Source organism: Homo sapiens, chromosome 19 (genome assembly GCF_000001405.40).
Source record: "Homo sapiens chromosome 19, GRCh38.p14 Primary Assembly".
NCBI lineage: Eukaryota > Metazoa > Chordata > Mammalia > Primates > Hominidae > Homo > Homo sapiens.
In genome coordinates this window covers 43,727,497-43,755,182 of record NC_000019.10, presented here as the reverse complement: position 1 = coordinate 43,755,182, position 27,686 = coordinate 43,727,497, and the positions used below count along the sequence as shown (strand labels likewise).

The 27,686-nt window shown below is 50.5% G+C and overlaps 1 protein-coding gene across 8 annotated transcripts, besides 3 other annotated features; it reads left to right on the top strand.

Annotated features, from left to right (window-relative positions):
• SMG9 (SMG9 nonsense mediated mRNA decay factor) lies at positions 221 to 27,200 on the top strand. 8 transcript variants are annotated; one of them, XM_005259057.4, is made up of 14 exons: positions 221 to 529; positions 4,436 to 4,591; positions 7,131 to 7,205; positions 7,286 to 7,550; positions 7,644 to 7,741; positions 10,299 to 10,411; positions 14,965 to 15,076; positions 16,966 to 17,061; positions 17,501 to 17,586; positions 20,688 to 20,794; positions 21,450 to 21,557; positions 21,731 to 21,859; positions 22,181 to 22,325; positions 26,134 to 27,200. In XM_005259057.4, the coding sequence occupies exons 2-14, from the start codon at positions 4,442 to 4,444 to the stop codon at positions 26,213 to 26,215; spliced, it is 1,566 nt and encodes a 521-aa protein (XP_005259114.1). In that variant the 5' UTR covers positions 221 to 529; positions 4,436 to 4,441; the 3' UTR covers positions 26,216 to 27,200. The 8 variants fall into 8 exon arrangements, with proteins under 8 accessions (XP_005259114.1, NP_061981.2, XP_011525415.1 ...); NM_019108.4 differs by having other exon boundaries at positions 23,509 to 27,200; XM_011527113.2 differs by lacking the exon at positions 221 to 529 and adding an exon at positions 590 to 619.
• Positions 441 to 800: a silencer, noted in NCBI's record as "silent region_10729". NCBI's record gives its function as "represses an Ori minimal core promoter by ATAC-STARR-seq in GM12878 lymphoblastoid cells {active_cell/tissue: GM12878}" and the evidence as "EXISTENCE:reporter gene assay evidence [ECO:0000049][PMID:35858748]".
• Positions 1,031 to 1,290: an enhancer, noted in NCBI's record as "active region_14736". NCBI's record gives its function as "activates an Ori minimal core promoter by ATAC-STARR-seq in GM12878 lymphoblastoid cells {active_cell/tissue: GM12878}" and the evidence as "EXISTENCE:reporter gene assay evidence [ECO:0000049][PMID:35858748]".
• Positions 7,270 to 7,399: a silencer, noted in NCBI's record as "silent region_10728". NCBI's record gives its function as "represses an Ori minimal core promoter by ATAC-STARR-seq in GM12878 lymphoblastoid cells {active_cell/tissue: GM12878}" and the evidence as "EXISTENCE:reporter gene assay evidence [ECO:0000049][PMID:35858748]".

The window sequence follows — 27,686 nt, the reverse complement described above, 5'->3', positions numbered from 1 at the left end:
CACCGAAGAGGCACAACTCGAACCCCAGATCCGGGCCGCTCTCCCTCCTGCCGGCTCCTCGGCGTATCCATTTCCCTACTCATCTCCCCACCCTCAACCCCCCAACCGCGCGCACGCGCATTGAGTCAGAGCCGCGGCGTCCTCCCGCCTCCCGCTCCGGAACCCGCATGCGTGCTGAAGCCGACCGCCTCCATCCACGCACGCTCAGCCCGGCGAGCGCATTCAGTTCTCGAGCTCCAGCCCTCAGCGCATGCGCAGGACGAGTCGCCTGAGGGAACTGATCTCAGCTCGGGCCCGCGTTACATCCTCCTCCTCTTCTTCCTTCGGCCCAGCTTTCCTTAGGGGCTGCAACCCGGACGCCGAGGCCGGTTTCGGAGTGGGGAGTGCCCATTTTCTCTCCTTCCCACGTTCCTGGCCCCCAGACGCCATTTGCAGGCGGGTGGCTTGGGTCAGCCTCCCCGCCCCCACCCGACTCCCGTCACGGGAGAGCGCACACCGCGCCCCGAGAACCAATCAGCAGCCGCGTTAGGTAAGGGGGCCGCGAGCCCGCGCGAGGCTAGCGCACCGGCGGCGGGCGGGGCGCTCCGGCAGGCCCCGCCCCCGCCTTGGCCATTGAAAGGTCGCTGGGACGTCCGGCGGGGGTGCGGCACTGAGTAGGGGGCCGGCGACCGTCAATTCGATACTGGGTTGGCAGGAATGGGGGCGGGGGACGGAAATAACGTGTAAATGAGAAACTTATGCTCTGCGAGATCCAAGTACAGCCTGCAAACTGCCCGTCAAGTACTGGGGAGGCCGCCCCAATAACGTGTAACGAGAAACTTGAGTTGGGTTCCCCGAGGGAAGCTTTGTAAAGCAATGCCTAAATCCGGGGGAGGCTCCCTTCTAGAACCCCGTAGAGAGAAGTTTAAATCCTAGGGAGTCCTTAGGAAAATGTGCAAATCGACTACAGTTCTGGGCTGGGGAGTGCCCCACGAAGTGGGCTTACATACTCAGGAATCGGGAGAGTCTCCCCAAATATTTGCAAATAGTGAGGTTCTGGGAGATCCCCGAAGGGAGTGTGTGAAGCGATGCCTAAATACTGAGGAGACACTCCCCAAAAATATGTAAATTCGATTTGTTAATTTTCGGGAAGTCACCCTAGAAGTCCATCAGCAGACACTTAAATAGACCAGCTTTCCTAAGTTTGGGGGTAATCCCCAAAGGAGCCCGGAAACAGCATTGGAAGTCCCCAGCTTGCATGTGGGTGGGGTTTTTTTTTTTTTTCTTTGAGACAAGAGTCTCGCTCTGTCGCCCAGGCTGGAGTGCAGTGGCACGATCTCGGCTCACTGTATCCTCCACACCTGGTTTAGGTGGGCTTTTAAGTTCCAAGGAACTCCCCACATTCAGATACTGTGGAAGCTCCCAGAATAAAGGGCACAGGGAGGCCAGGTGCGGTGGCTTACCCGGGGAATCCGATCACTTTGGGAGACCGAGGCTGGCGAATCACTTGAGGCCAGGAGTTCGATACCAGCCTGGCCAACATGGCGAAACCCCGTCTCTACTGAAAATGCAAAACTTAGCCCGGCCTGGTGGTATGCACCTGTAATCCCACCTACTTGGGAGGCTGAGGCAGGAGAATTGCCTGAACCCGGGAGGCAGAGGCCGCAGCCAGCTGAGATCGTGCCACTGCACTCCAGCCTGGGCAACAGAGCAAGACCGTCTCAAAAAAAAAAAAAAAAAAAAAAGAAAAGCATTCACACAGGGGCGCTTACTTTGCACAGGAAAGGGCATCCTCATAGGCCAGTAAACAGAAACCTCAGGGCTGGGCAGTATCCCAATTGAGGCATGAAGACAAGTACTTAAGCACTGGGTAGATTTCAGAATAATGTGTAAAGACACTTAATTGCAAGTGAGGGAGGAGTCTCAGATTCTGGGGAGAATCTCCATCCCAGACTAAGCAGTCATTTCGGTATGGAATGAGTCATTTTCCCTAAGCAGCTGTAAACAGGCCCTTGTCCTCCTCTGTCTAGGAAAGCAGTCTTCAGCCTGGCTTGTGGCTCTGGGAGAGGTCATGTAGCACAGTAGGAGAGGAGCTAGACAAGCCACTTGTCTGGCTAGCAAAATTATGACTGCATCTTGTAAACAGACCCTTCCATTCTGGAGAGTCTCGGAGGGACCTGTTTATGTCATTATGAGGTGGGGCAGGGGAGGATTCATGGAGGGATTTAACAGATACTTCCAAGCTAAGCAAGGGTCAGCAAACTGTTTTTTTGAGACAGGGTTCTGCTTTTTTTTTTTTTTAGACAGGGTCTTGCTTTGTTACCCAGGCTAGAGTGCAGTGGTGCAGCATGATCATGGCAGCCTTGACCTCCCAGGCTCAAGTGATCCCACCACCTCAGCCTCCCAAGTAGCTGGGACTACAGGTGCATGTCACCACGCCCAGCTACTTTTTTCTTTTTTAAATGTTATATAGAGACAGGATCTTGCTATGTTGCCCAAGCTGGTCTCGAACTCCTGGGCTGAAGCAGTCCTCCTGTCTCGGCCTCCCAAAGTGTCGGGATTACAGGTGTGAGCCACCATACTCGGCCATTCAGTAAAACTTTCTGTTAAGGCCAGAGAATAATTATTTTAGGCCCTGCAGACTGTATTGTCTGTCTCAGCTCTGCCATTGCATCAAGAAGGCAGCCACAGACAGTTTCTAAATTGATGGATGTGGCCATGTTCCGATAAAACTTTCTATTTACAAAAACAGAAAGCAGACCAGATTTGGCCCCTAGGCCACACTTTGTCAACCTGACTTCTGAGCTTGAGCAGATAGCCCCACTGAGTTCTACAAACAGTTAAGTAGTCAAATACCACCCTAGACTGATGTGTGAACAGCTGGGAAAACTCTCTAAGGACCTGTAAACAGATACTGAAATGGTGGAGAGTGGGTTGCATAGGTAGCCAGACATTATATAACATCTCAAATAGAATAAACACTGGAGACACCTTGAAATGAAATTCACTGTGAGGGAAGGCAGACCGTCAGGAACGGAAGACAGACAGACACTGAAATGTAGTGGGATACCAGGTGAAAATAGGCCCTTGAGTGTTGGAACCTCACCATGACATACACTAGTAAGTGGCTGGAGCCCCACCATGACATACACTAGTAATGACTAATCAAGAGTAGCTGTTGGACTGAGGATCACATTGCTGGTTTGTAAGCAAATGCCTTGCTGCATTTTGGTAAGGAGAATATCCTATTTTTATGTGAACTTGCCCCTGTGAGTTTATTTATGTTGGAGCATTTTAATAGTTGGGAATAGTTTTGGCTGCAAGTAAGAGATAGATGTGTATTTGTTTTTCACTGCCTCTCGAAGTAGGCAATTCAAGGTTAACGTGGAACCCCCCAACCTTGTGTCTTGTTTTATTGTACCTTCCATTAAATTGCCTTACAGCCCAGGATAGCTGCTTGAGCTCCAACCTCCACACCCACATTCCTGTCACTGGGAGGAAGGGGCAGAAGGCATGTGCCAGAGTCTGTGAAGGGAAGTTTCTGGAAGCTGCCAAGCCACACTTCTAGTGTCATACCATAGCCAGAAAGTACTTACTCACATGGCCACACCTAACTGCAAACAAGGATGAGAAGTTTGTTCTGGATAGCCATGTACCTAGCTCAGAACTGAGGGTTTTACTTTTTTGGAAGAAGTCAGGAGTGGATGTTGGGAACCAGCTTGCAGTTGCTACCACAGGCCCAGAGCTCTGTTGAAAGGAAGGGCCTTGGCCGGGCATGGTGGCTCACGCCTATAATCCCAGCCCTTTGGGAGGCTGAGGCAGGTGGATTGCCTGAGGTCAGGAGTTTGAGACCAGCCTGGCCAACATGGTGAAACCCCATCTCTACTAAAAATACAAAAAAAATTAGTCGGGTGTGGTGGTGGGCATCTGTAATCCCAGCTTCTCAGGAGACTGAGGCAGGAGAATTGCTTGAATCTGTGAGGTGGAGGCTGCAGTGAGCCGAGATTACGCCATTGCACTCCAGCCTCGGTGACAAGAGCGAAACTCTGTCTCAAAAAAAAGAAGAAAGGAAGAGCCTTGGTTGGGCACAGTGGCTCACATCTGTAATCCCAGCACTTTGGGAGGCCAAGGTAGGTGCATCACCTGAGGTCAGGAGTTCGAGACCAGCCTGGCCAACATGGTGAAACCCCATCTCTACTAAAAATATAAAAATTAGCCAGGCATGGTGGTGGGTGCCTGTAATCCCAGCTACTTGGGAGGCTGAGGCAGAAGAATTGCTTGAACTCAGGAGGCAGAGGTTGCAGTGAGCCAAGATCAGGCCACTGTACTCCAGCCTGGGCGACAGAGAGACTCCATCTCCAAAAAAAAGAAAGAAGGGACTTCGTATAGTCTAGGATATGCCAAGTAGAGTAGGAAGAGACTCTGTCATCCTGAAATCCCCTCATTCCCTCCATAGGTAACCATGTCTGAGTCTGGACACAGTCAGCCTGGACTCTATGGGATAGAGCGGCGGCGACGGTGGAAGGAGCCTGGCTCTGGTGGCCCCCAGAATCTCTCTGGGCCTGGTGGTCGGGAGAGGGACTACATTGCACCATGGGAAAGAGAGAGAAGGGTGAGTGTCTGGACCCAGGAGCAGCATTCATGTATCTATTTGGTTCCACGCACCTGCCATGTGCCAGGCACTAATCCAGATGCCGGGGATATATTTGTAAACAAAACCTACCACCCTCATGGATAAAGAAGGTGGAGAGTGATAAAGGAGACTGTTCTAGATAACATGGTCAGAGAAGGTCTCTCTGAAGAGGTGACTTTTTAGCAGAGACTTGAAGGAGATGAGAGAATAAGCCATGCCAGCATCTGAGATGAAGAGCATTCCAGACAGAAAGAACAGCAAGCGCAGAGGCCCTGAGGTGGCCCATATCTGGCGTGTTCAAGGAGTAGCCATAGGAGGCCAGGATGGCTGCAATTGATGAGGAAGGAGGGAGAGAGATAGGAGATGAAGTCAAGTAACTGGGGCCAAATCATGTAGGACCTGGTAGGCCTTGGAAAGAACTTTGTATTTCACTGAGTGAAATTGGCATTGGAGAGTTTGAGCTGAGAGGTGCCATAGCTCATGTTTTAAAGGGTCATGTCATAATAACAACAACTGTTACTCTTTTTACTGAGCAGCCTATACTGTGCTTGCACTGTGCAAAGTCTTTTACATCCTTTGGGTCTTCCTGAACCCTTACAGCTACCCCATGAGGTAGATTCTATGATAGATCTGATTTTCACTAATGAGGAAAATGAGCCCCAGAGGTGAAGGGACTTTTCCAAAATCAGAGTCAATAAACTTTGGGTCCAGGACTCAGATCCAGGTCCAGCTTAGTCTCACATATAGCATCGCTCTGCCTGCTGTAGAGAGCGCCCTGGGCTGGGAATCAGGAGGGATCGGCTTGTGCCCAGGCCCAGCCTCGCTCCCCTCCTGTACCTAGGTGACTCACTGCCAGAACCTGCCCCCTGGGCTTTTTTCTCTAGGGCCCTGTCCACCTCAGAGATGTCAGGTAGGGTGGAAGTAGGTGACAACTGGGGCCAGCTTCTGAGCTATAAAACTGTACAAACATGAAGAATAGTTTTTTCACAGTGAGCTGGGCTCTTACTTGCTCCTTCTCTTGGGCCACAGTGTAAATGAGAACACGTAGTCTCTCTTCCTTCCACATAATGCCCTCCTGGGGAATGTTATCCCGCCACACCTTCAGGTTTAATCCTTGAACAAGCACCTCCTAAACCTCATCTTTGTCTCTAAATGTGCTACTGAGCCCTGGCAGCCTCTTGTCACACCCATGGGCTTCTTATCCTCTGTGTCCCGTGCTGACCTCGGCATCTTTCTGCCATTTTTCCTCTTCCCATTTTTTTCTCCCATATCAGTGACAGCCCATTGGGCCTTATCCTGAATGCCTCTCTCGCCTCTCCCCTGCTTCCTCTGTGCTAGTCAGGCACCAGTGCTTTACATTCTGCCGCCTGGTTATATCTGTGTGTCTTCTCTCTACCCTCACAGCGTTCATCCCAGGTATAGACTGAATATCCGAAGTGCTCCAAAATTCCAAATGTTTTGAGCACCAACGTGACATTTAAGGGAAATGTTTATTGGAGCCTTGCAAATGGATTTGGGGTGCTCAACCAGTAAATATGCAAATATTCCAAAGTTCAAAAAAATCCCAAATTCAGAACACTTCTGGTCCCAGGCATCTGAGATAAGAGATACTCAGCCTGTATCATCTCCCCCTTCCTAGCCTCCTGGAAGTCCACAGCCTCTCCTCCTGTAGTTTTTCCCTTGAAACTTCTTTTCGAAGCACTTTCACTTCGTCTTTTTGTTTGTTCTTCACCGTAAGCCAGTGAAGTGAGCAGGGTTTAAGTAAGTGTCCTCAGTATATTGGTGAAGGAACAGACACAGTTAGGGGTCAAGACTCTCATGAGGTTACTCAAGGAACCAGAGAAAGAACGGGACTCAGACTCAGATTTCTCCCCTCTTCAGCAGACTGAGGGTAAGTTGGGGAGGCATGAAGAGGTCAAGGCTTGGGATCAGCCTGCCAGCTTTGCCAGAGCAGGAGGGGGCTGAGGCAGAGGTGATCAGGATAGCAAGTGCCACCAGCAGCTCTCACATAGTGAGCACCTGCCATGTGTCAGGTGCCATGCTAGACACTTGATGAGTTCTCTCTCCTTTCATCCTCATCATAGTCTGTGAGGAAGGAATTCCCATACCCACTCACAGATGGGAAAATGAGGCATAAGTGAAGGTGGCGAGGGTGGTTCCTTATTCAAGTTCACACAGCCAACACGAGGCGGGATCAGGTTTGCACCCAGACCTGTCTAGCTCCTAGTTCCTTTCCTCCTGGGCTTGTTGCCTCGCAGAGGCAGCTGAGCAGAATGCTTGAGGATTTGGTTCTGCAGCCAGGCTGCCTGGGCTTTGTGACTTTGGGCAATCTGCTTAACCTTTCTAGGCTTCATTTTCTTCATCTGTAAAGTGGGGGTAATAATAGTATCTATCTCACAGGGCTGTTGGTAGGATCAAGGTAGTTAATATATTTCGGCATTTAGAATAGTTCATGGTACATAAAGATCTGGAATGTCCAGGAGAGCCATTCATGAGTAACTGCCCTCCCTCACCACAGGATGCCAGCGAAGAGACAAGCACTTCCGTCATGCAGAAAACCCCCATCATCCTCTCAAAACCTCCAGCAGAGCGGGTGAGCAGAGAAGGAGGGAGGAGGGGGAGCCGTTAGGGAAGGGATTGCCCCCATTGATGGGATTTTTTTTACCTCCGTAGTCAAAACAGCCACCACCTCCAACAGCCCCTGCTGCCCCGCCTGCTCCAGCCCCTCTGGAGAAGCCCATCGTTCTCATGAAGCCACGGGAGGAGGGGAAGGGGCCTGTGGCCGTGACAGGTGCCTCTACCCCTGAGGGCACCGCCCCACCACCCCCTGCAGCCCCTGCGCCACCCAAGGGGGAGAAGGAGGGGCAGAGACCCACACAGCCTGTGTACCAGATCCAGAACCGGGGCATGGGCACTGCCGCACCAGCAGCCATGGACCGTGAGTTGGGGCTGGGCAGTACCAGGTTGGGAACTGGCGTCTCCTCACAGATCCTCACTGCATCCTCTGTCTCCTGCTTTCTCCAATCTCCAGCTGTCGTGGGTCAGGCCAAACTACTGCCCCCAGAGCGCATGAAGCACAGCATCAAGTTGGTGGATGACCAGATGAATTGGTGTGACAGTGCCATCGAGGTACCGAGGGGTCCTGCCCTGCCTGAGCTTCCGCACATCCTGCATCCTCTGATCTTCCACCTCTCTGTAGGCAACACCAGACTGGAGGGTTTTGAGGCAACTTACAGCAGTGAGAGGGGGTGGTATCAGAACATTCTCACCTAACCAGAGCGGAATTTCAACTAGCTCGGCTGTGCTTGCTAGTTGGTAAAATACAGAACTCCTTTGGTACCGATTGGTAAAGAAGTACTCTCACTACCACCCCAGGACCCCTGGGATCTCCCGTGCCATCCACAGCAGGGGAGTCTTTTGGACCCTGCTCCAGTACCCTTCTTATTTGGTTGAAACCCTTGCTGGTGGCTCATGCCTGTAATCCCAGCACTTTGGGAGGCCAAGGTAGGAGAATCACCTAAGCCCAGGAGTTCAAGACCAGCCTGGGCAACATAGGAATACTCCATTTCTACCAAAAATTTAAAAATTAGCCAGGCATGGTGGCAGGAGGCATCCAGGCCACTCAGGAGGCTGAGGTAAGAGGATCACTTGACTCCAGGAGGTCAAGGCTGCAGAGAGCTGTGATCATGACATTGCACTCCAACCTCAACAACAGAGTGAGACCCTGTCTCAGTAAAAAAAAAAAAAAAAAGAACAAGAAGCCCACGCTGTCTCAGTGTCAACTGTTTTGAATGTCACTCCCCCAAAGTGACCCCCATCCATCCCACCACCCCCTGCTCTAGTTCAGACCTCACATTCCTAGATCATCATACATAACACCAGTCTCCCAGATGTTGTGTCCCTTCTTCTGCTTTTTCTCCCCTAGACCTGTCACACCCCTGCTCAGATTGTCCCAGAGGTGTCACCTCTCCTACCCAGCAGCCTGGACTTATTAGCACAGCCTCAAGTCCATTTATTGCCTTGCCCCTGCCACTTCTGTGTCCACTCTCACATTGGAATTAACTGGGGAGCTTTAAAAAAACAAAAAACAGAACAACAACAAAAAACCAAACCCTACCCTTCAGCGCTATTAAGGAAAACTTTCTGCAGTGATGAAGATCATATATATTTGAACTATCCGTCCAGTATGGTAGCCGCTATCCCCAGATGTGGCTTTAGAGCACTTGAAATGTGGCTAGTACAACCAAACAGAATTTTTAATGTTGTTTAAGCTTACTAATTTAAATAGCCATGTATGATCAATGCCTACTGATTGAACAGGGCATCCATAGATATTCTGCTTTAATGTGTTAAAGCACGTTAAATCCTGATTGGGCCCAGGATTTGCTTTATTTATTTAGGAGACGGTCTCGCTCTGTTGCCTAGGCTGGAGTGCAGTGGCACCATCTCGGCTCACTGCAACCTCCACCTCCCGGGTTCAAGCAGTTCTCCAGCCTCAGCTTCCCAGGTAGCTGGGACCACAAGTGTGCGACATCACGCGCAGATAGTTGTTTTTTTTTTTGTTTTTTTGTGATGGAATTTCGCTCCTGTTGCCCAGGCTGGAGTGCAATGGCACGATCTCGGCTCACCGCAACCCCCGCCTCCCGGGTTCAAGCAATTCTCCTGCCTCAGCCTTCCGAGTAGCTGGGATTACAGGCATGTACCACCACACCCAACTAATTTTGTATTTTTAGTAGAGATGGGGTTTCTCCATGTTGGTCAGGCTGGTCTGTAACTCCCGACCTCAGGTGATCCGCCTGCCTCGGCCTCCCAAAGTGCTGGGATTAAAGGTGTGAGCCACTGCACCCAGCCGGGTTTTGTATTTTTGGTAGAGACGGAGTTTCACCATGTTGGCCAGGCTGGTCTTGAACTCCTGGCCTCAAGCGATCCTCCCACCTTGGCCTCCTAAAGTGCTGGGATTACAGGCGTGGGCCACAACACCTGGCCTATAGGATTCGCTTTTAAAAAACAAAACAAAACAAAATTTTAAGGTAATTCTAAGGAGCAGCAGCCACAGTTCAGAACGTAGCTGTTTTCCTTGAGGAGTGTCTCTTACACCCCCTGGTGGTGAAAGTCAGCAGAGCTGGTGGCCCAGAGTTGGTCTCAGTTAATTTCCAGAGGGGCTCTTAAATCCCACAGACAACAGCATATGAATGTAAAAAAAAACAAAAAAACACACACACAGACGAAAGCCTGGGTGGCTCCTGTTTGCACACCACTCCCTTTCATGTGCTTTCCCAGGTTTGCCAGGAATCTGTGCCAGTAGCCCTCAGTCGCCGAGTCCTATCTTCTCCAACCTGCCCTTCTGTTCCTGTGACTCTCACTTTCACTTCTCCAAGATCAGACTTCCCTTTTTCCCGCTGTGTTCAGCCACACTGACTTCCTTTTAGCTTCTTGACCATGCTAGGCTCTTTTCTACTTCAGAGTTCTCACAGACACTGTTGTTTGTGTCTAAAACATTTCACATAATCCTACCATGACACGGAACAGAGGCCCTATGCCTAGTTGAAGGGGTTGGGACTATAGGAGTTTCTCTTCATATATGATAAGGCAGGTGGGGGAGCCACAAGGGTCTCTGGAGTCCCCCCCTCATTCCAGCTCCAGCAGCTGACAGACTTGTCAGAGTCATTTATGTATTTTCCCACAGTACCTGTTGGATCAGACTGATGTGTTGGTGGTTGGTGTCCTGGGCCTCCAGGGGACAGGCAAGTCCATGGTCATGTCATTGTTGTCAGCCAACACTCCAGAGGAGGACCAGAGGTGAGGGGCTATCAGATAGGGTGCAGGAGGGAGGTGGGCACCCACTGGGAGCAGGGGCAAGGTGGGCTTGGGTGTTTCAAGTGGTGTTACCAAAGGACTTTGGAAAGTTGCTTTTCTTCTGTAGACCTCAGTGTCTTCATGAGATGAAGATGATAATGGGCTGGACTAAATCTGTGTAGCTCCAAGGCATCCAATCCTGTTCCTCCCTCCCTCCCTCCCTTCCTGCCTGGCCTCAGGAAATGGTACAGGTCCTAGACAAGAAGTGGGATGATGTAGTTGTTAAGGTTTTGGATTTGGGCCCACCTCAGGCTCAGCCCTGCAACATAACTGGTTGACCTTGGGCAGGTCACTTCATTTCCCGTATCCCCTGTCCAGGTAGATTTTTGGAGAATAAAATAAGATCAAGAAGGCAAAAGTTAATGAGCACCTGGCATAGAGCAAGTATCACAGAATGGTAGCTGATACGATCTGAGAAATAGAGTGGGGAAAGAGATCTGGAGACAGAGAGTGGTTTCTGTACCAGCCTCAGTCCTACTGTGTCACCTTGGGAAAATGGCTCTGCTTCTCCAGGCTGGGGAGGATCAGACATGAGGATTCTCTGGCCTGAACAACATTCTTGAGTAAGGATGGAATGTGATTATGAAGATAAAGCATAAGGGCACAGGAGCAGGTTTTGGGGAGGGGAGAACTTGAGAAACAGGTCCCGAAACTGGGGGCAGAGAAGGAAAGGGAAAAATGTAGGAATTTGGGAATGGGGGAGATACACATCTCATTAAGGGAGAATCAAAATGGGGAATGAGAATGGATAGTAGCCACTGGGGTGGTGAAGAACAGAGACATGTTGAAGTTACCTAAAAATACAGGGATCTGTTTTTTTGTAAAGCAGGTGATACTACCCTGGCCTCCATGGATGAGCGTCAGGAGTCCATTAATCCCTTAACAGTATATGCAGAATTTTATTTATTCATTTATTTTTGAGACAGTGTCCTGTTCTTTCACCCAGGCTCAAGTGCAATGGCACGATCATAGCCCACTGCATCCTCTACCTCCCAGGCTCAAGTGATCTTCCCACTTCAGCCTCCCAAGTAGCTGGGACTACAGGGGCATGCCACCACACCAGCTGGTTTTTAACTTTTTTGGTAGAGATGGCGTCTTCCTCTGTTGCCCAGGCTGGTCTCAAACTCTTGGGCTCAAGCAATCCTCCCGCTTTGGCCTCTCAAAGTGCTGGGATTACAGGTGTGAGCCACCACCGTTGGCCGTATGCAGAATTTTACACACATTTGCAGTCAGGCTTTTCTTCTAGGGAAAAGGTCCCTAGTTTGCACCAGATCTCAGAGTGGGCTGATGGAGATCTAGAAAAGGTGAAGACCACTGTTGGGCGAATACACATCCCATAAAGCTGGAGCTGTGAGGTTCCTCTGCCTCTCTCCCTCCTCTTCTCTGCTCACTCATGACTCAGTTTGGTTCCATTTTGGAATAGTTCCAGGTCTTAGATAACATTCTTTCCATTTCAGCTTTTCACCCCAACTAGCAAATTTTCCCCATGGGTCTCAGTTCAGATTCCTGAGGTAGGGAGAATCCTGTCACCCAGCTTGTCTTTTTGAGCCACGTCAGCCTGTGGTGTGGTAGACTTCAGTATCAACTCTTTTCATCAGGTCTAGGTTTTGCCTCCTAATTCTCTCTCTCTCTTTTTTTTTTTGAGACAGTCTCGCTCTGTCACCCAGGCTGGAGGGCGGTGGCACAATTTCAGCTTAACACAATCTCCATCTCCTGGGTTCAACCGATTCTTGTGCCTCAGCCTCCCGAGTAGCTGGGACTACCATGCCCAGCTTATTTTTATATTTTTAGTAGGGATGGGGTTTCGCCATGTTTACCAGGCTGGTCTTGAACTCCTGACAGGTGATCTGCCCACCTCGGCCTCCCAAAGTGTCGGGATTACAGGTGTGAGCCACCGTGCCTGGCCTTCCTGCTAATTCTCTTTCTAATTCATCTGTTTCTTCCCTCCTTCACTCCCACCTCCTTAGTCCAAGCCATTATTATCTTACATGCAGGATACCAAGAGGTTTCTGTCTGGTCTGCCTGATTTAATTCAGTTTTGACAAGTACTGTATTAATTGCTTACTATGCGCCAGGCACTGTTCTAGGTGCTGGGGATACAGTGGTATACAAAACTGGAAAAAATCTGCCCTTGTGGGACTTATATTTTAATAGGGAAGATAGTAAACAAAATAAACACACTATTCGGCACGTTAGAATATAACACAATGGAAAAGGGTTATAGGGAGGTAATGTTGGGCCTAGGTTACAGGTTTTAAAAATTATTACTATTTTTTAAGAGACGAGGGTCTTGCTCTGTCACCCAGGCTGGAGTGTAGTGGCCTGATCATGGCTTCACTGCAGCCTTGACCTGGGCCCAAGCCATCCTCCCACCTTGGCCATATGAGTAGCTGGGAACCACAGGTATGCACCACCATGCCCAACTAATTTTTTAATTTTTTGTAGAGACAGGATCTCACTGTGTTGCCCAGACTGGGCTCACGTGATCCTTTGACCCCAGCCTTCTGAGTAGCTAGGACTACATTTGTGTACCACCATGCCTGGCTAATTTATTTATTTTTTATTTTTGAGACAATTGTCGCTTTGTCACCCAGGGTGGAGTGCAGTGGCTCCATCTTGGCTTACTGCAACCTCTATCTCCTAGGTTTAGGCAATTCTCCTGCCTCAGCCTCCCGAGTAGCTGGGATTACAGGCGTGCACCACCACATCCGGCTAATTTTTGTATTTTTAATAGAGACAGGGTTTCACCATGTTGGCCAAGCTGGTCTTGAACTCCTGACCTCAAGTGATCCTCCCACCTTGGCCTCCCAAAGCTCTGGGATTACAGGCATGAGCGACCATGCCCTTAATATTTTTTTTTATTTTTTGTAGAGATGAGGTCTTGCTGTGTTGCCCAGACTAGGTTATAGTTTTAAATAGGATGGTGAGGGAAGGCCTTGCTAAGGGGAACGTTTGAGAAAAAGCATGCTGGGAGGAGCATTCCAGTGAAAGGGACTGGCATGGGCAATGCGTCTGAAGTGGGAGCTTGCCCATAGTGTGTGTAGAAGAACGTGGCAGCCTTAGAAGGGGAGTGGTAGGAGATAAGGCCAGAGAGGCAGAGCGAGGCACTCTGGCACTGGGCCTTGTAAGCCTATCTCCACTTTTTCCACCGTACGGTCCTCACCACATAGCAGCAAGGGGACCTTTCAAACCACAGTCTGATCCTGTCACTCCTCTACTTACATCTCTCCAGCAGCTTCTCCAGGCTCATAGGCCAAAGCCTTACCATGCTCCACAAGGGTCTGTGTATCCTCTTCTTGCTCCCTCCCCTCCCACATGCACCATCTTTCTGCTCTTGCCATGCTGGTCTTTGAGTCCTAGTACAACAAGCCACCTACTTTCTGCCGATGCAACCTTCCTCTGCGTCCATCCCCCACCCAGTGCCAATTAACTCCCTCTTTCTCTCTCACCCTCAGCATTGTCATTTCCCTCTCCAGGGCAGCCCTTTCTGGCTCCACCAACTAAGCAATCTGCACTTGGAGCACTGCACGCCTCTTCTTTCTAACACCCACAGTTACTGATTTCTGGTAATTTGTAAACTAGACCAGAAGCTTCACAGAAGCCGACTTAGTCTTTTTTGTTCACTGCTATATCCTGGTATCTGGCAAATAGGAGGTTTTCCGTATAGTGTTTGTAAAGTGGAAGGATGCCTGCTTTGTGTCAGACAACAGATTATGCATCTTGAGGGGAGATAGAAATTACCCCTTGAGAGGTAGGTACTATTACCCTGATTTTACAGATTTCAAAAGGTAAAATCACTTTGCCCAAGTCACAGAGTCACCAAGTTGAACTTAGTGGTTTAGGGCACGGCCCTGCTCTGCCTGCTTTGCCCTCATATTCCCAGCACCCAGCACACGTAGAAGTGAGGGAGACTCACCTGACAGGGGAAGATGCTGGGAACAAGACCCAAACTCTCTCTCACTGTGGGAGTGGAGGGCACTCAGTGCTCTCTCTCCAATGCCTGGGATCTAGTAGGTTTATTTGATAATTAACAGCTAAAAGTATATATCATTATATATCAGGCACCATTCTAAGGGCTTTACACATACCGACCTCACAGTAATACACAGAGTTTTGATCATGTGGTTATCCCCGTTTTATAGATGAGGAAACTGATGGAAAAAGGTTAAGGAGTGTGCCTAAAGCCACACAGCCAGGAAGAGGCAGAGCTGGGATCTGAATCCTGGCAGACTGGCGGAGTCTCTGCCCTTCAACACCTCAGTGTACTGGCTTCATTAATTGAACTAATGGATCTCTTTATGGATAGGAGTGAAATTGTGTGCTTCAAAACATGCACTACCCCCGCCTCCCACCCCCTGACATGGGCCACAGATGAAAAGCTTAGGGAGCAGGCAGGGCACCACGGCTCACATGCTCAGCTCACAGGGTCACACTTCGGATGCATCCAAGGCTGAGAACCAGAGCTCTCACACACCCCTGCCTGCTCCTCTCCACAGGACTTATGTTTTCCGGGCCCAGAGCGCTGAAATGAAGGAACGAGGGGGCAACCAGACCAGTGGCATCGACTTCTTTATTACCCAAGAACGGATTGTTTTCCTGGACACACAGGTGCCAGCCCCGCCTGCCTTTGCCCCACCCTGCCACATCCTGCATTGAGCCTCTTCCTGGAATGTGATTAAGCCAGAACCCTGCGTGGATTCCATGTGCTTCCAGTCAAGCCATGGACATACTGGCTGCCCTGGGGCAAATTGTGTCTTTTCTTGGCCCTTAGTCTCTTGTCACTTTTGCCCCCATCTCATTCGCCTTCTACACAGTAGCCTAAAGGATTTCTAGTATAGTGCTGAAAAGTGTGGGCCCTGGAGAATGTGTGTTCTGATCCTGTCTGTTAGTTCTTACCAGCTGGGTGACTTTCAGTTTTAAACTCCCTTAAACCACAGCTCTTTATCTGTAAATAGGGATGGTAACTGTACTTAGCCTCTTAGGAGTTTCAAGGATTCAGTGGAACAATCCAGGCAAAGTGCTTGGCCAGGACCTGGCACAAGGTTAGTGCTCAGGCTCGTCACTGTCGTTAGCACTGACTGGTCCTGCGTTTACCTGGCAGTTTTCCTCGGCTTCTCCCTTCCTCTCAGGCAAAGTCCAGATTCCTTAAGCTGGCATTCGGAGGGTGTGGCTTGCCTCCCTCAGACTGCCTATCCTCGCCTCTGGAGGAGCCACCAGACCCCCAGCACACACACACTGATCTCTCTCTTCTCTGGACTTCGCATATCCCGTTTTTACCTGAAACCACCAACGAATTGTGTGACCTTGTCAAGTTATTTATTTTCATTCCTCAGTTTTAAGTGGGAAAAACAATACTGCCTGCCTCATAGGGGTTTTGTGAGGTTTCAGTGCATCGATGCAAGTAAAGTCCTAATGACAGCACCCAACAGGAGTTAGGTGCTAAATACCCTTAGCAATTAATACCATTATCAGTACAATAGGCTCTCGCCTTGCGTTTTTGCCTGGCTAACGCCTTCTTCTTCCTCAAGACTCCACTGGGGTGTGGCCTCCTCTCAGAAGCCCTCCCCTTCCACTGTTGCCCATATGCACCTCCCACCATAGCATGTGATTTGCCACCGTGTCTGTTCCCACTCCCTGCCTGCCCGAAGCTCTTCAGAGCAGAGCCCTGGCTCTGGGGGTGAGAGCTGGGGCACAGGGCCTGGCCCTTTAGTTGGCACTCATAGTTGGTGGAACAGAGTTCTGGTCACTGTGGCATTGATGACACAGAGTGGAAAATCTACAAATGTGATGTGAGCCTTGTGTGCCAGGCCCTGTGCAGGGGCCATGGAGACCTGGAGACAAACCAAACCGGCTGTGGTCTGGGTCAGAGACCTGTGAAGAGGAGGACGGAAGTTAAACAAGACAGAATAGAGCACTGCTCAATGTTTGGAGTTTGAGAACGCGAGCAGTTGTGAAAGCCCCTTTCTAAAAGAATTTCACTGCAGTAAGAAGCCAGTAGACTATCAAGCTAATTTAATTTAGCTCTTAAAGTTTTTTGATTGAATGTTCCTTTAAGAAAAAAAAGTCCGGTGAGCTCACCACTGATTCTTATACATACTGATGCAGTTTTTAAAATTCTCACCAGTTTTCACACTAATTATTTTTTTTTTTTACCTAAGTAATTATCTTAGCAAAGTTTTGAAAGCGTATGAAACAACTGACAACAAAATGAGCCTTTAAGGGACATGACTCATTTGAGTAAACGTTAAAAATTCATTAGCACAAAGCAGTTTCTTCTCTTTGGGCATGAGGTGCTTGCGAGCAACAGTGATTTGTAAAGGAGCTGGAAAAGTGTATCAGCTTTGAGTTTTTTTTCTTTAACTTCCTTTTGCTGTTCTAATTAGAAATTGCCTGCCTTTGTTTCTGACCTTGTTTTGTCCTGAGATAGACAATGTATTTGCCTTGAGCGTGTGAAACTTGGGTATCTGAGTGACACTCTGTTCTCTTCCTTGCTGCAGCCCATCCTGAGCCCTTCTATCCTAGACCATCTCATCAATAATGACCGCAAACTGCCTCCAGAGTACAACCTTCCCCACACTTACGTTGAAATGCAGGTGAGGGAGCCAAGCCAGGCCCAGGACTGAGGTTTTACATCCCCACCCCCATCCTCCCAAGATCTGGAGAGCTGGGTGTGGGTGGTCCACTTAGTTTCTGCTTCAGAAGAGCCCTGGCTGCCCCAAGGGCTATAGGAAGAGGACAACACTGAGAGTCAGGACTGGCTCAACTCCTGGCTCTGCCCCTCAGGCAAGTCATTTCCCACCCCCTCCCCTTTGACGCCTCAGCATCTGCCTGTGTAAAATGGGGGTGATAATTCCCACCTTTCCTGAGTTAGGGATGGCCTGTAAGGGAAGTGCCATCACAGTGCTGGGCACACAGTAGCTGCTTGAAGGCTCCTTGCCTTGCTGCCTCCTGAACTGAGTCCTGGGATCAGGGACTCCTGATTAGTCTGGGCAGAAGAGGTCCTCACCTCCCTTCCATCCTGCCCACCCTCAGTCACTCCAGATTGCTGCCTTCCTTTTCACGGTCTGCCATGTGGTGATTGTTGTCCAGGACTGGTTCACAGACCTCAGTCTCTACAGGTGAGGAGCTGAGGGGTTGGAGGGTGGGGAGGAGGAATGAGGCAGGAGACAAAGGCCCAGAGACTTGAGCCACTGACTCAAGGGACAGCAGCCAGAGGGATCCTTTTAAAATGTAAGTTGGAGCAAATCACTCCCATCTAACCTCCCCCTCAAAGCACTGCGCGCACACACAGCCCTCCACTGACTTTACATATCTACCAGAATAAATCCAAAGTCTGCCCGTGCATGGCTTACAAAGTCCTTTGCTCTCTGGTCACCTTGCTGACTTCTCTCACTGCCTCCCCTCGCTCCCTTTATTTTTATTTATTTATTTATTTATTTATTGAGACGGAGTCTCGCTCTGTCGCCCAGGCTGGAGTGCAGTGGTACAATCTCGGCTCACTGCAGTCTCCATCTTCTGGGTTCAAGTGATTCTCCTGCCTCAGCCTCCCGAGTAGCTGGGATTACAGGCACCCACCACCATGCCCAGCTAATTTTTGCATCTTTAGTAGAGATGGGTTTCACCATGTTGGCTAGGCTGGTTTTGAACTCCTGACCTCAGGTGATCCACCTGCCTCGGCCACCTAAAGTGCCGGAATTATAGGCGTGAGCCACCGCACCTGCCCTCACTCCCTTTATTAAAGCCACAGGGCCTCATGGCTGTTCTTCCTGCAGCCCAGGACCTCTGCACTCCGCCTCCCTCAGTGGGAAATACCCTTCCCGCAGATCTCCTCAGACTCTCGCCCTCGTGCCATTCGAGTCAACTTCAGGCCTTCCCTGACCATCTAACATAGCATCCCCTGTTACTCTCCCTCACTTCTGTGTTTTCCTTCATTGCATTTACCTCTCCTTAATAGGATACTGTAGCTTTCCTTATGATCTTTCTCCCCCATTCGAATGTAAGCCCTAGGAGGGCAAGGTCCCCAGCACCTCACACAGTGCCTGGCACACAGTAAATATTTACTACAAATTTGCTGAATAAGGAGCATGAGGAGCTGGCTTGTCTGATCCGTGGAGTTTTGCTGTTCATCTCCTTCAGGCTCGTGTGCCCTCCTGTTGGTACTCAGGGAGGCAGGACCTGGCAGGAGTCCTGCCTGAAGCAGCCACAGATTGCAGAAATGCCTCCAGAAGAGACTGGCTCAGAACCTATGGCCACAAGGGCTCTTCCTGGCTTCAGGCCCCAGGAGACCGCTGGGAGGTGTTGGGGGGAACAGCTTTGGGCACACGGACCAGGCAGAAGGAAGGGACAGGAGCTTATAGGGAGGGGAGAAATGGAATTAGGAAGCAGATGCCTTCAGAGCTAGGTAGTGCCTTTGAATCCTAGCTCTTACTGGGCATGTGTCTGTTTCCTCCTCAGTTCCTCATCAGCAGCATTATGTTGTGTAGATTCAGTGAGTTAAGGAATTTAAAGCATTCAGCTTAGTCCCTGTTACATAGTAAGCAGTTGATGGAGAAAACTTAATGTTTGTATTAGTAACCCTGGGGACAGGGATGAGCTGAGGGTCTGGCCAACAGCAAAAAAGGCTTGCTGGGGAGTTGGTTGTTCTGACCAGATCTAATGCAGCTGAGCTGTGACTTCATTCTGAAACACCTATTCCTACCACCATCTGGGATTCATTCACATCTAGGTGTGCCAGGCACTGTTCTGGGCACTAGGGACACAGGTGTGAACAAAACAGATAAAAGAGAGAAAACAGATAAAACTCCTTGGGGAGTTTACATTCTGGTAGGAGTATTGGCTCAGGCCGGCACATGGCAGAGCCTTGTTTTTAAGGTCTTGTCTACAGGTGGGCTTCTCAGAGTAGGGGAGCCCCTTGAGATTGTAGATGTGTTTGTGTGTGTATGAGGAGAATGTCCCTGTATTTTAGCAATCCCATTATCCCTTACCTTAGAAAACAGGTTTATGTACTCTTAACCTATTGTAAAAAATTATTTTAAAATAACATAAACTGAAAATTCCACTAAAAAACCACACAGATTTTTTTTTTTTTTTTTTTTTTTTTGAGACAGAGTCTCACTCTGTTACCCAGGCTGGAGTGCAGTGGCACAATCTCGGCTCACTGCAACCTCCGCCTCCTAGGTTCAAGTGCTTCTGCCTCAGCTTCCCAAGTAGCTGGGACTACAGGTGTGTGCCACCATGCCCGGCTATTTTTTGTATTTTTAGTAGAGACACAGTTTCGCGATGTTGGCCAGGCTGGTCTCGAACTCCTGACTTCAGGTGATCTGCCCGCCTCAGCTCCCCAAAGTGCTGAGATTACAGGCGTTAGCCACCGTGCTCGGCCACACAGATGTTTATAGCAGCTGTATCCATAATTGCCAAAACTTGGAAACAACCAAGATGTCTTTCAGTAAATCGAATGGATAAATCATCAGTGGCACATCTAGACAATGGAATATTATTCAGCACTGAAAAGAAATGAGCTATCTCACCATAAAAAGACATAGAGGATCATTAGATGCAGATCAAGTGAAGCCAATCTGAAAATGCTATATACTTGTAATTCCAACTATACAGACAGTCTGGATAAGGCAGAACTACGGAGACAGTAAAAAGATCAGGGGTTGGAGAGAGGGAGGGATGAATAGGGACAGCACAGAGGATTTTTAGGGCAGTGAAACTACTCTGTGATGCTATAATGGCAGACACACACCTTTATACATTTGTCCAAACCTGTAGGACGTACAGCACCAAGAGTGATCCCTGATGTAAACTAGGGATTTTGGGTGATAATGATGTGTCAGTGCAGCTTCATGGATCTTAAATGAACCATTCAGGTTGGAGATGTTGATAGTCAGGGAGGCTGTGCATGTGCAGGGGTTGTGTGGGAACGCTACGTGCTTTCTGCTCAGTTTTGCTGTGAACCTAAAACTGCTCTAAAAAATAGCCTTTAAAAAAAAAATACAGTAAACTCAAAGAATTTATACAGTTGGTAAGTCCATGGGTTGGTATCTGAGAGGATTATCTCTGAATTCTCTGAAATTGTGAGAAACATGGTGTGTATATGGTATTTTTCTGAGCATGGCTGTAGCTTTCATCAGAATCTCAAAGGAAGCCCCTGTCCCAGGCTGTGGGACCTGGGGTGCAAGTGCAAGAGCAACAGCCACTCACCCCAAACCCCAAGGTTCCTGCAGACAGCAGAGATGGTGAAGCCCTCCACCCCATCCCCCAGCCACGAGTCCAGCAGCTCATCGGGCTCCGATGAAGGCACCGAGTACTACCCCCACCTAGGTGAGAGGCTTTCTGGGGACTGGAGGGGTGGGCAGGAGGAAAAATGAGGGGCTGAAAGTCAGGAGCACGCTGGAGAAGAGGGGAGAGAGAGGAAGGAGTGGGGTTCTGGGTGGAGCACTTTTGAGAGTTGTGAGGAGCAAAGTCAAAAAGGATTAGCTGCTCCTTCCAAGTTCCCACTGCCCTGGTCCAATCCTGACAGTTGAGGGCATGACCCCTGAGCCTGTGTCTGGAATGGGACAGGCCCCAGGTCTGCCTATTTCTGGGTCCCTGGAATCTCCCAACTCAGGAAGTGAGTATTAGGTTGGGTTCATCTGGGTGGCCCCGTCCACCTGTTCTCCCTCCTCTAGCCTTTGCACATGCCGTTCCTTTGCCTGTTTCATCCTTTCTCCGCTCTACTCTTCTTCAAAGACCCAGTTCATTTTATGATCCCTCGCTAGGGCCTCAAAGAGACTAGGGGCAGAAATCAGACCTGACTCACTTCTGGGTCCCCAGCATTGCCCTACACAGAGCCTGGTGCTAAAGTGAAGTGAAGTTATATAAATATTTACACAGTGATCTGAACTCAGGGGTAACAACAGGTCTTTGGGGTGAGAAAGGGGAGTCCATGAAGCCAAGCGATGTCTGCCTGACAGGGCCCGTCTCTTCCCACCCTCAGTCTTCTTGCAGAACAAAGCTCGCCGAGAGGACTTCTGTCCTCGGAAGCTGCGGCAGATGCACCTGATGATTGACCAGCTCATGGCCCACTCCCACCTGCGTTACAAGGGTAAGGGTTCCCACATCACCCCCCAAGCTAGTCAGCCTCCTAATTCCTGATCCAACCCCGTGGGTCAGTCTCTACCCCCAGACTAGTCTCCTGATCCTGCTTTGACTGTCAACAATTCCCACTCCCCAAACCCACAACATGGTACCTGAAGGCTGAAGCGTTTTCTCCTCCAGGAACTCTGTCCATGTTACAATGCAATGTCTTCCCGGGGCTTCCACCTGACTTCCTGGACTCTGAGGTCAACTTATTCCTGGTACCCTTCATGGACAGTGAAGCAGAGAGTGAAAACCCACCAAGAGCAGGTACAGTTACCCTCAACAGGTTCATGGAGAGACAAGTCCTATCCTGATCAGAGAGAGACCCAGCACCCACTGGTCTAGGAGGCGACATGGGTTGCCCTGGTTTGGGAGCAGTGTGGAGCCTACCTGGTCTGAGAGAAGATCCTGGTTTGTTCCTGGGGTGTGTGGACCCTTTATTAGGAGTGTGTTTCAGAGTCATAGAAGTACAGGAAGAGCTCAGCCGGGGCTGAACTCTCAGGTGCTCCTTGAAGCCCAGGATGCTGTTAACTGGGAGAAAGACCCTGGCAGTCTATCCCTCTTACCCTCCCTGCCCCAACTTTCCAGGACCTGGTTCCAGCCCACTCTTCTCCCTGCTGCCTGGGTATCGTGGCCACCCCAGTTTCCAGTCCTTGGTGAGCAAGCTCCGGAGCCAAGTGATGTCCATGGCCCGGCCACAGCTGTCACACACGATCCTCACCGAGAAGAACTGGTAAGAGCTCTTTGCAGAGGGGGTCAATTTGAGGCACCCCACCCTGGTGTAGAGAGAAGGGGGCGTCCCTTAGATCGGCATGACCTTGTGAAGCCCCTCCTCTCCAGATCCCAGGTTCCTTTTCTGGAACAGTGATGATTGCTACTGTCTTGTAAGCATCTCACCCATGTGGCAACATGCTGTTTCCTGTGACTTTGAATCCTCCTAATCAGCCAGCATCATGTAGGTCCTTGTCACCAGTTTTCCTGGTGGGGAAATTTAGGCTCGGGGAAAAGTGTTACATAGCAAGGCCACACATCTGTGGCTAGGAGTCATTTGATTGCTAGGAGTAGGACCAGTGACCAGATTTAGCTTAAGGAAGATTTATTCCAGGGACCTGATCACAGAAAGCAGGGCCCTGCAGCAGATGGGAACCAGGAAGCCATCAGGGTCTCATTCTTCACACTTCTGCATTTGTCTTGTTTCCTGCCTCTGGCTTTCTCTCCCTGCTTTCACTTGGCCCGGCACTAGCTCTGTGGCCCCTACTTTACATTACTTCTTTGTCCAGAGCTCTCAGCATATGAGTCCAGGTCTTCCTCATCTTACTTCAAAGAGAAAAATTGGAAAGATAAATAGCTTAACTGGGTGCAGCCTCTCTAACTTGGCTCCCTACATCTGTTTGCAGTTGGCTGTGCCTGGAAGGGGTCAGGAGTGCAGACAAAGCAGCAGGAAGCCCCTCAGGGCTTGTAGGGCAGAGATGGGGCAGAGCTTTGAGTCCCAGCTCTGCTCCTGCCATTGGTCTAAACCAGGACCCAGAGGAGAGAGGGAGAAGATTGTGGGTTGTGCAGCTGCTGTTAGATGTTTTCTATGTCGTAAGACTCTGGAGGGAGGTGGAAACTGAACCCTCACCCACAAAGCCAGCACTGTGTGGAGTGGGAGAAGTTTAGGTGGTGGAGACTTGAGGTCTTAGTCCAAGCCCTGGAACCTTCAGCTTTGCATAACCTGGGTGAGCTAAGAAAAGTTGGGCCACCTCCCATCACTGTTAGGATCCTCCCTGTATCCCAGTCGAGGAGATTGGGTTCCAAGAGGCTCAGAGTCACATCTCAGGTCATAAAAGGGGCCTCAGTTTCTCCACCTGTCCCGGGTTGGTGCTGGGCTGGGGGGAGCCCCGGCCAGGCAGCCCTGACTGTTGGCCTCCTCACAGGTTCCACTACGCTGCCCGGATCTGGGATGGGGTGAGAAAGTCCTCTGCTCTGGCAGAGTACAGCCGCCTGCTGGCCTGAGGCCAAGGAGAGGAATGTCATGCAGGGGACCTCCTGGGTCCGCAGTGTACTGCGAGGGAGCACAGATGTCCATCCCCCGCTGGGGTGGAGAGCGGCAGCAGGCCTGATGGATGAGGGATCGTGGCTTCCCGGCCCAGAGACATGAGGTGTCCAGGGCCAGGCCCCCCACCCTCAGTTGGGGCTGTTCCGGGGGTGACTGTGAGCGATCCCACCCCAAACCTGAGATGGGGTAGCCCGTCCTGTGTCCTCCACAGGGACAAGCAGTGGGAGGAGTCTGAATGGTCACCAGGAAGCCCGGGCTCCATCTTGACCTCCTTTTTCAGGGACAGGAGCAACAGGCCCCTCTTCCCTGACTCTAAGCCCTTCCCTGTAAGGTGAGGCAGGGTCTGGAGAGCTCTTTATTGGAACAGATCTGGTGGTTCAAATAAACACAGTCATGCAAGCCTGTTCTTATGTTCCACTTACTCCTCTACCCACCATGCAGCTCTGGGAAGCAGGACAAATTGGACACCCAGCCCTTGCGGGCAGATGGAGATCAGTCTCTGCTAAGAAGTCCCTAGAAGGGGTTATTCTGTTTCCTGGGGTGGCATCAAGCCTCCCCTGTGTATGTTTTGGATGGGAAAATACACTGGTGCAGCTGAGTACAGCAACTACCCTCGTGTCTTCTGCTCTCACTTAAAGACAGTTACCTGCCTTTGGGTTAAATGCCCAGTTAAATACAGTGCCTAGGCTGGGCATGGTGGCTCACGTCTATAATCCTAGCACTTTGGGAGGCCGAGGCAGGCGGATCACTTGAGATCAGGAGTTCGAGACCAGCCTGGCCAACATGGTGAGACCCTGTCTCTACTAAAAATACAAAAAAAAATTAGCTGGGCGTGGTGGCGCACGCCTGTAATCCTAGCTACTTGGGAGGCTGAGGTGGGAGAACTGCTTGAACCCGGGAGGCAGAGGTTGCAGTGAGCCAAGATCACGCCACTGCACTCTCCAGCTTGGGCAACAGAGCGAGACTCCGTCTCAAAAAAAAAAAAAAAGCCTACTTTTGACTTAAGAAACAGAACTTGTCCTTAAATGTAGTAAGTACTTACCCTTAATCCAAATACCATGCCTCACCCGTACAGACAGTGCCTTCTGTTGGTTAAATACAGTGGCTTTCCTCTCGTAAACCTCATCTACTCTTGCTTAGAAATGGCAACCCTCACCTTTAATGTAAATCCAGAACCTACCCTCAGTTAAATCCACTCTGCGATTTGGTACAGTACCAACCCTCATCTGCTCAGTTAAATACAGTACATGATCTTAGTTTGAGGTTTCCCAAAGTATGTCTCCAAATTGGTCTCGCCACCCCAAATTAATCCATCGTTCAGTAAAGCAGTCAGCTCCAGTCCAGCTGGCTGAGTCTGTTCATCCATTGCCCTCCCCCACCCCCTGCCGCCCGTGGCACATATTTGTCTCCCTGGTTTCCTCCTGCTTTCAAGCATCCCATACAGCCCTGGTGTTTCATACCATGGGGATCCAGGGCCTTGTGAGAAACAACTGAAGTGAGGGGGGGCGGGGGGTCAGTGAAGAAAGCACTCAGCAGGGCCAGAGAAGGTCAGGCCAGAAGTGGATAGAATGCCAGTCTCTACAGAGGGCTGAGGCCTGGGAGACAGGAGGCCCAGCACAGGCTCTGGCACAGCCACTTCCTGACCGACTGTAGTAGGCAAGGAGCCTCCCCTCTCTGGCCATTATTCCAACATTTAAGATCATCCTCGAGGCCCTTCAGAGCTGTGACATTCACTGCCCTTTTACCGAAATGCTTCTAAATCCTTTGCCCCACTGTCGTGATCTCTACAGAACCCTCCTGACCATCCTCTCCAGCTAGATAACCCAGCTCTTCCCTGCCTTGTCAAAATGTCTGCCCCAAGTCTCATCCCCACCCCTGCTTCCCCAGGGGGTCTTCCTGCTGGTTGATTTGGGGGTTTGCCAGAGTAGGAAAGGTGGTGGGGGCAACGGCCAGAGAAAGATGGGAGACCCAAGGCAAGACGGCACCAGACAGCATGCAACTCAGTCCAGGAGAGTTGGAGCTTCAGTTTCTTCCATCCCAGCCCCTTTCAGCACAAGGCTGGGGACAGAGAGAACTGTGCCCTCCCAGCCCTAACCTACCACCTCCTGCTGGCCCAGCTCAGGGCTGAGATTGTTGATTGGATTCACCTGTGATCTTGTGGTCAGTGTTGCCAAGGAAGGTCTGAATCAGCACACTCTTGGTGTCCCTGGCTGCCAAATCCAGGGGCGTGTGAAGCATCCGGTAGATGGTGGTGAAGGAGGTGCTGCAGGTGACCAGGATGCCCGGATGGGTGAAATGAGGCACTCTGGAAATCCGGCCTAGCGTTTCCACCACCACCACCGTGGTGATCTGGTGACCTTGGTCCAAAGGCCCTGTCCCACCTCCAGGGTTTTGTGCAGGGGCTGGCTCGTTGAGGCAGTTTGACAGAGGAGTCAAACTGGCAGTAGCCTTCTGAACAGTGGGTAAGTATGTACCGGTCACCCGCCACCCCCTTTACATCCAGCAGAGGACTCAGGCTGATGCTGCCAGCAGGCCACTGTGGACACCAGCTAGATATACTGCTGCAGGGAGGCCTTCTGCTCTAGGATGGGCTGCAAGATGGGCCTGGCCACCAGGAATGCCTGCTGCTTGTGGCTCTCCAGTCCCTTCATCATTCCCAGCAGGTGGAACTCACGCTTTTCAATTCAGACACAGGAATACATTGGTATCCTTCTCACCCTCCACTGCAGGAAACATGAGCACCGCTCAATCAGCTTCTACACTGGAGCAGGCCATGTTGTGCTGGCAGCTGCCTGGGCTCAAGCGCCTGTCATGAGCGCAGCACTTGGCCTAAGAATGTCAGCCCTGCAGCCAGGCTGCCTATGTTCAGATCCCAGCCTTGCCATCTACCACCTGTGTGGCATTGGACAAGTTGCTAAAGCTTGCTGGGCATCTGTTTTGTCTGCAAAATAAGGTGATGATTGTACCTACCTCCTAGGGGTGTTGTGGTGATTAATTGAGTTCATAATGGTGTCTGTTTTAGTCGGTTCTTGCATTGCTGTAAGGAAATACCTGAGACTGGGTAATTTATAAAGAAAAGGGGTTTAATTGGCTCAGAGTTCTGCAGGCTGAACCAGAAGCATGGTGCTGGCATCTGCTCGGCTTCTGGGGAGGCCTCAGGAAACTTACAATCATGGCGGAAGGTGAACTGGGAGCAGGTACTTCACATGCCCAGAGCAGGAGCAAGAGGGGGCAGGTGGCACACACTTTGAAACCACGAGCTCTTACAACAGATTCACTATTGTGAGGACAGTACCAAGGGGCTGGCGCTGAACCATGAGAAACCACCCCCATGATGCCGTCCCTCCCGCCAGGCCCCACCTCCAACAGTGGTGACTACAAACTACAAGTTGACATGAGATCTGGTGGGGACACAGATCCAAACCATATCAGTGCCTGACCTATGCTGAGCCTCAATAAATGTTAAATGCCACCATCATCCACAGGTGCCAGGTCTGCATTGGGCACATAGCATTTTGCAATCCTCTAACTTTGCAAATAAATGAGCCAATACATACTCTTTCTCCTTAATGCAAGCGATTGGTCTCTATCACCAGTGACTGAGAAGTGCCGACTGTTAGGGAATGGCAGCTAAAAAGCATTATTTCACTACAAAGTCTAGTTCAGTCATGCGCTGGTACCGGGGGTGACCTCTTTTCCCACTCTGGGCCTCTGCTGGAAGACGAAGGGGAAGGGGTGGGCAGTATCTCAAGGGTCCAGGCTCTCCTTCTCTGCCACCAGTACCCCAGAGCATGTCCCTGACCTTCCAGCTACTGTTGACAGCCATCCAGGATCTGGCTGAGCCCACTCTCCTCAGAGAAGGTGCTGGGGTGGCAGCTTTGGGGGTGGCAAACTCCATCTTGGAGCAGAGGAAGGAGAAACGCCCTGCTGCAGGATCTCGCGAGCCAGCTGGGCATGGCCGGTGGTCAAATGCTCTGATGCAATGATAATGAGGATGTAACGGTCCAGCAGCACCTGCTGGAGGTACTTGTCAGCCTAAAAAGTGGGCGTGCCTAT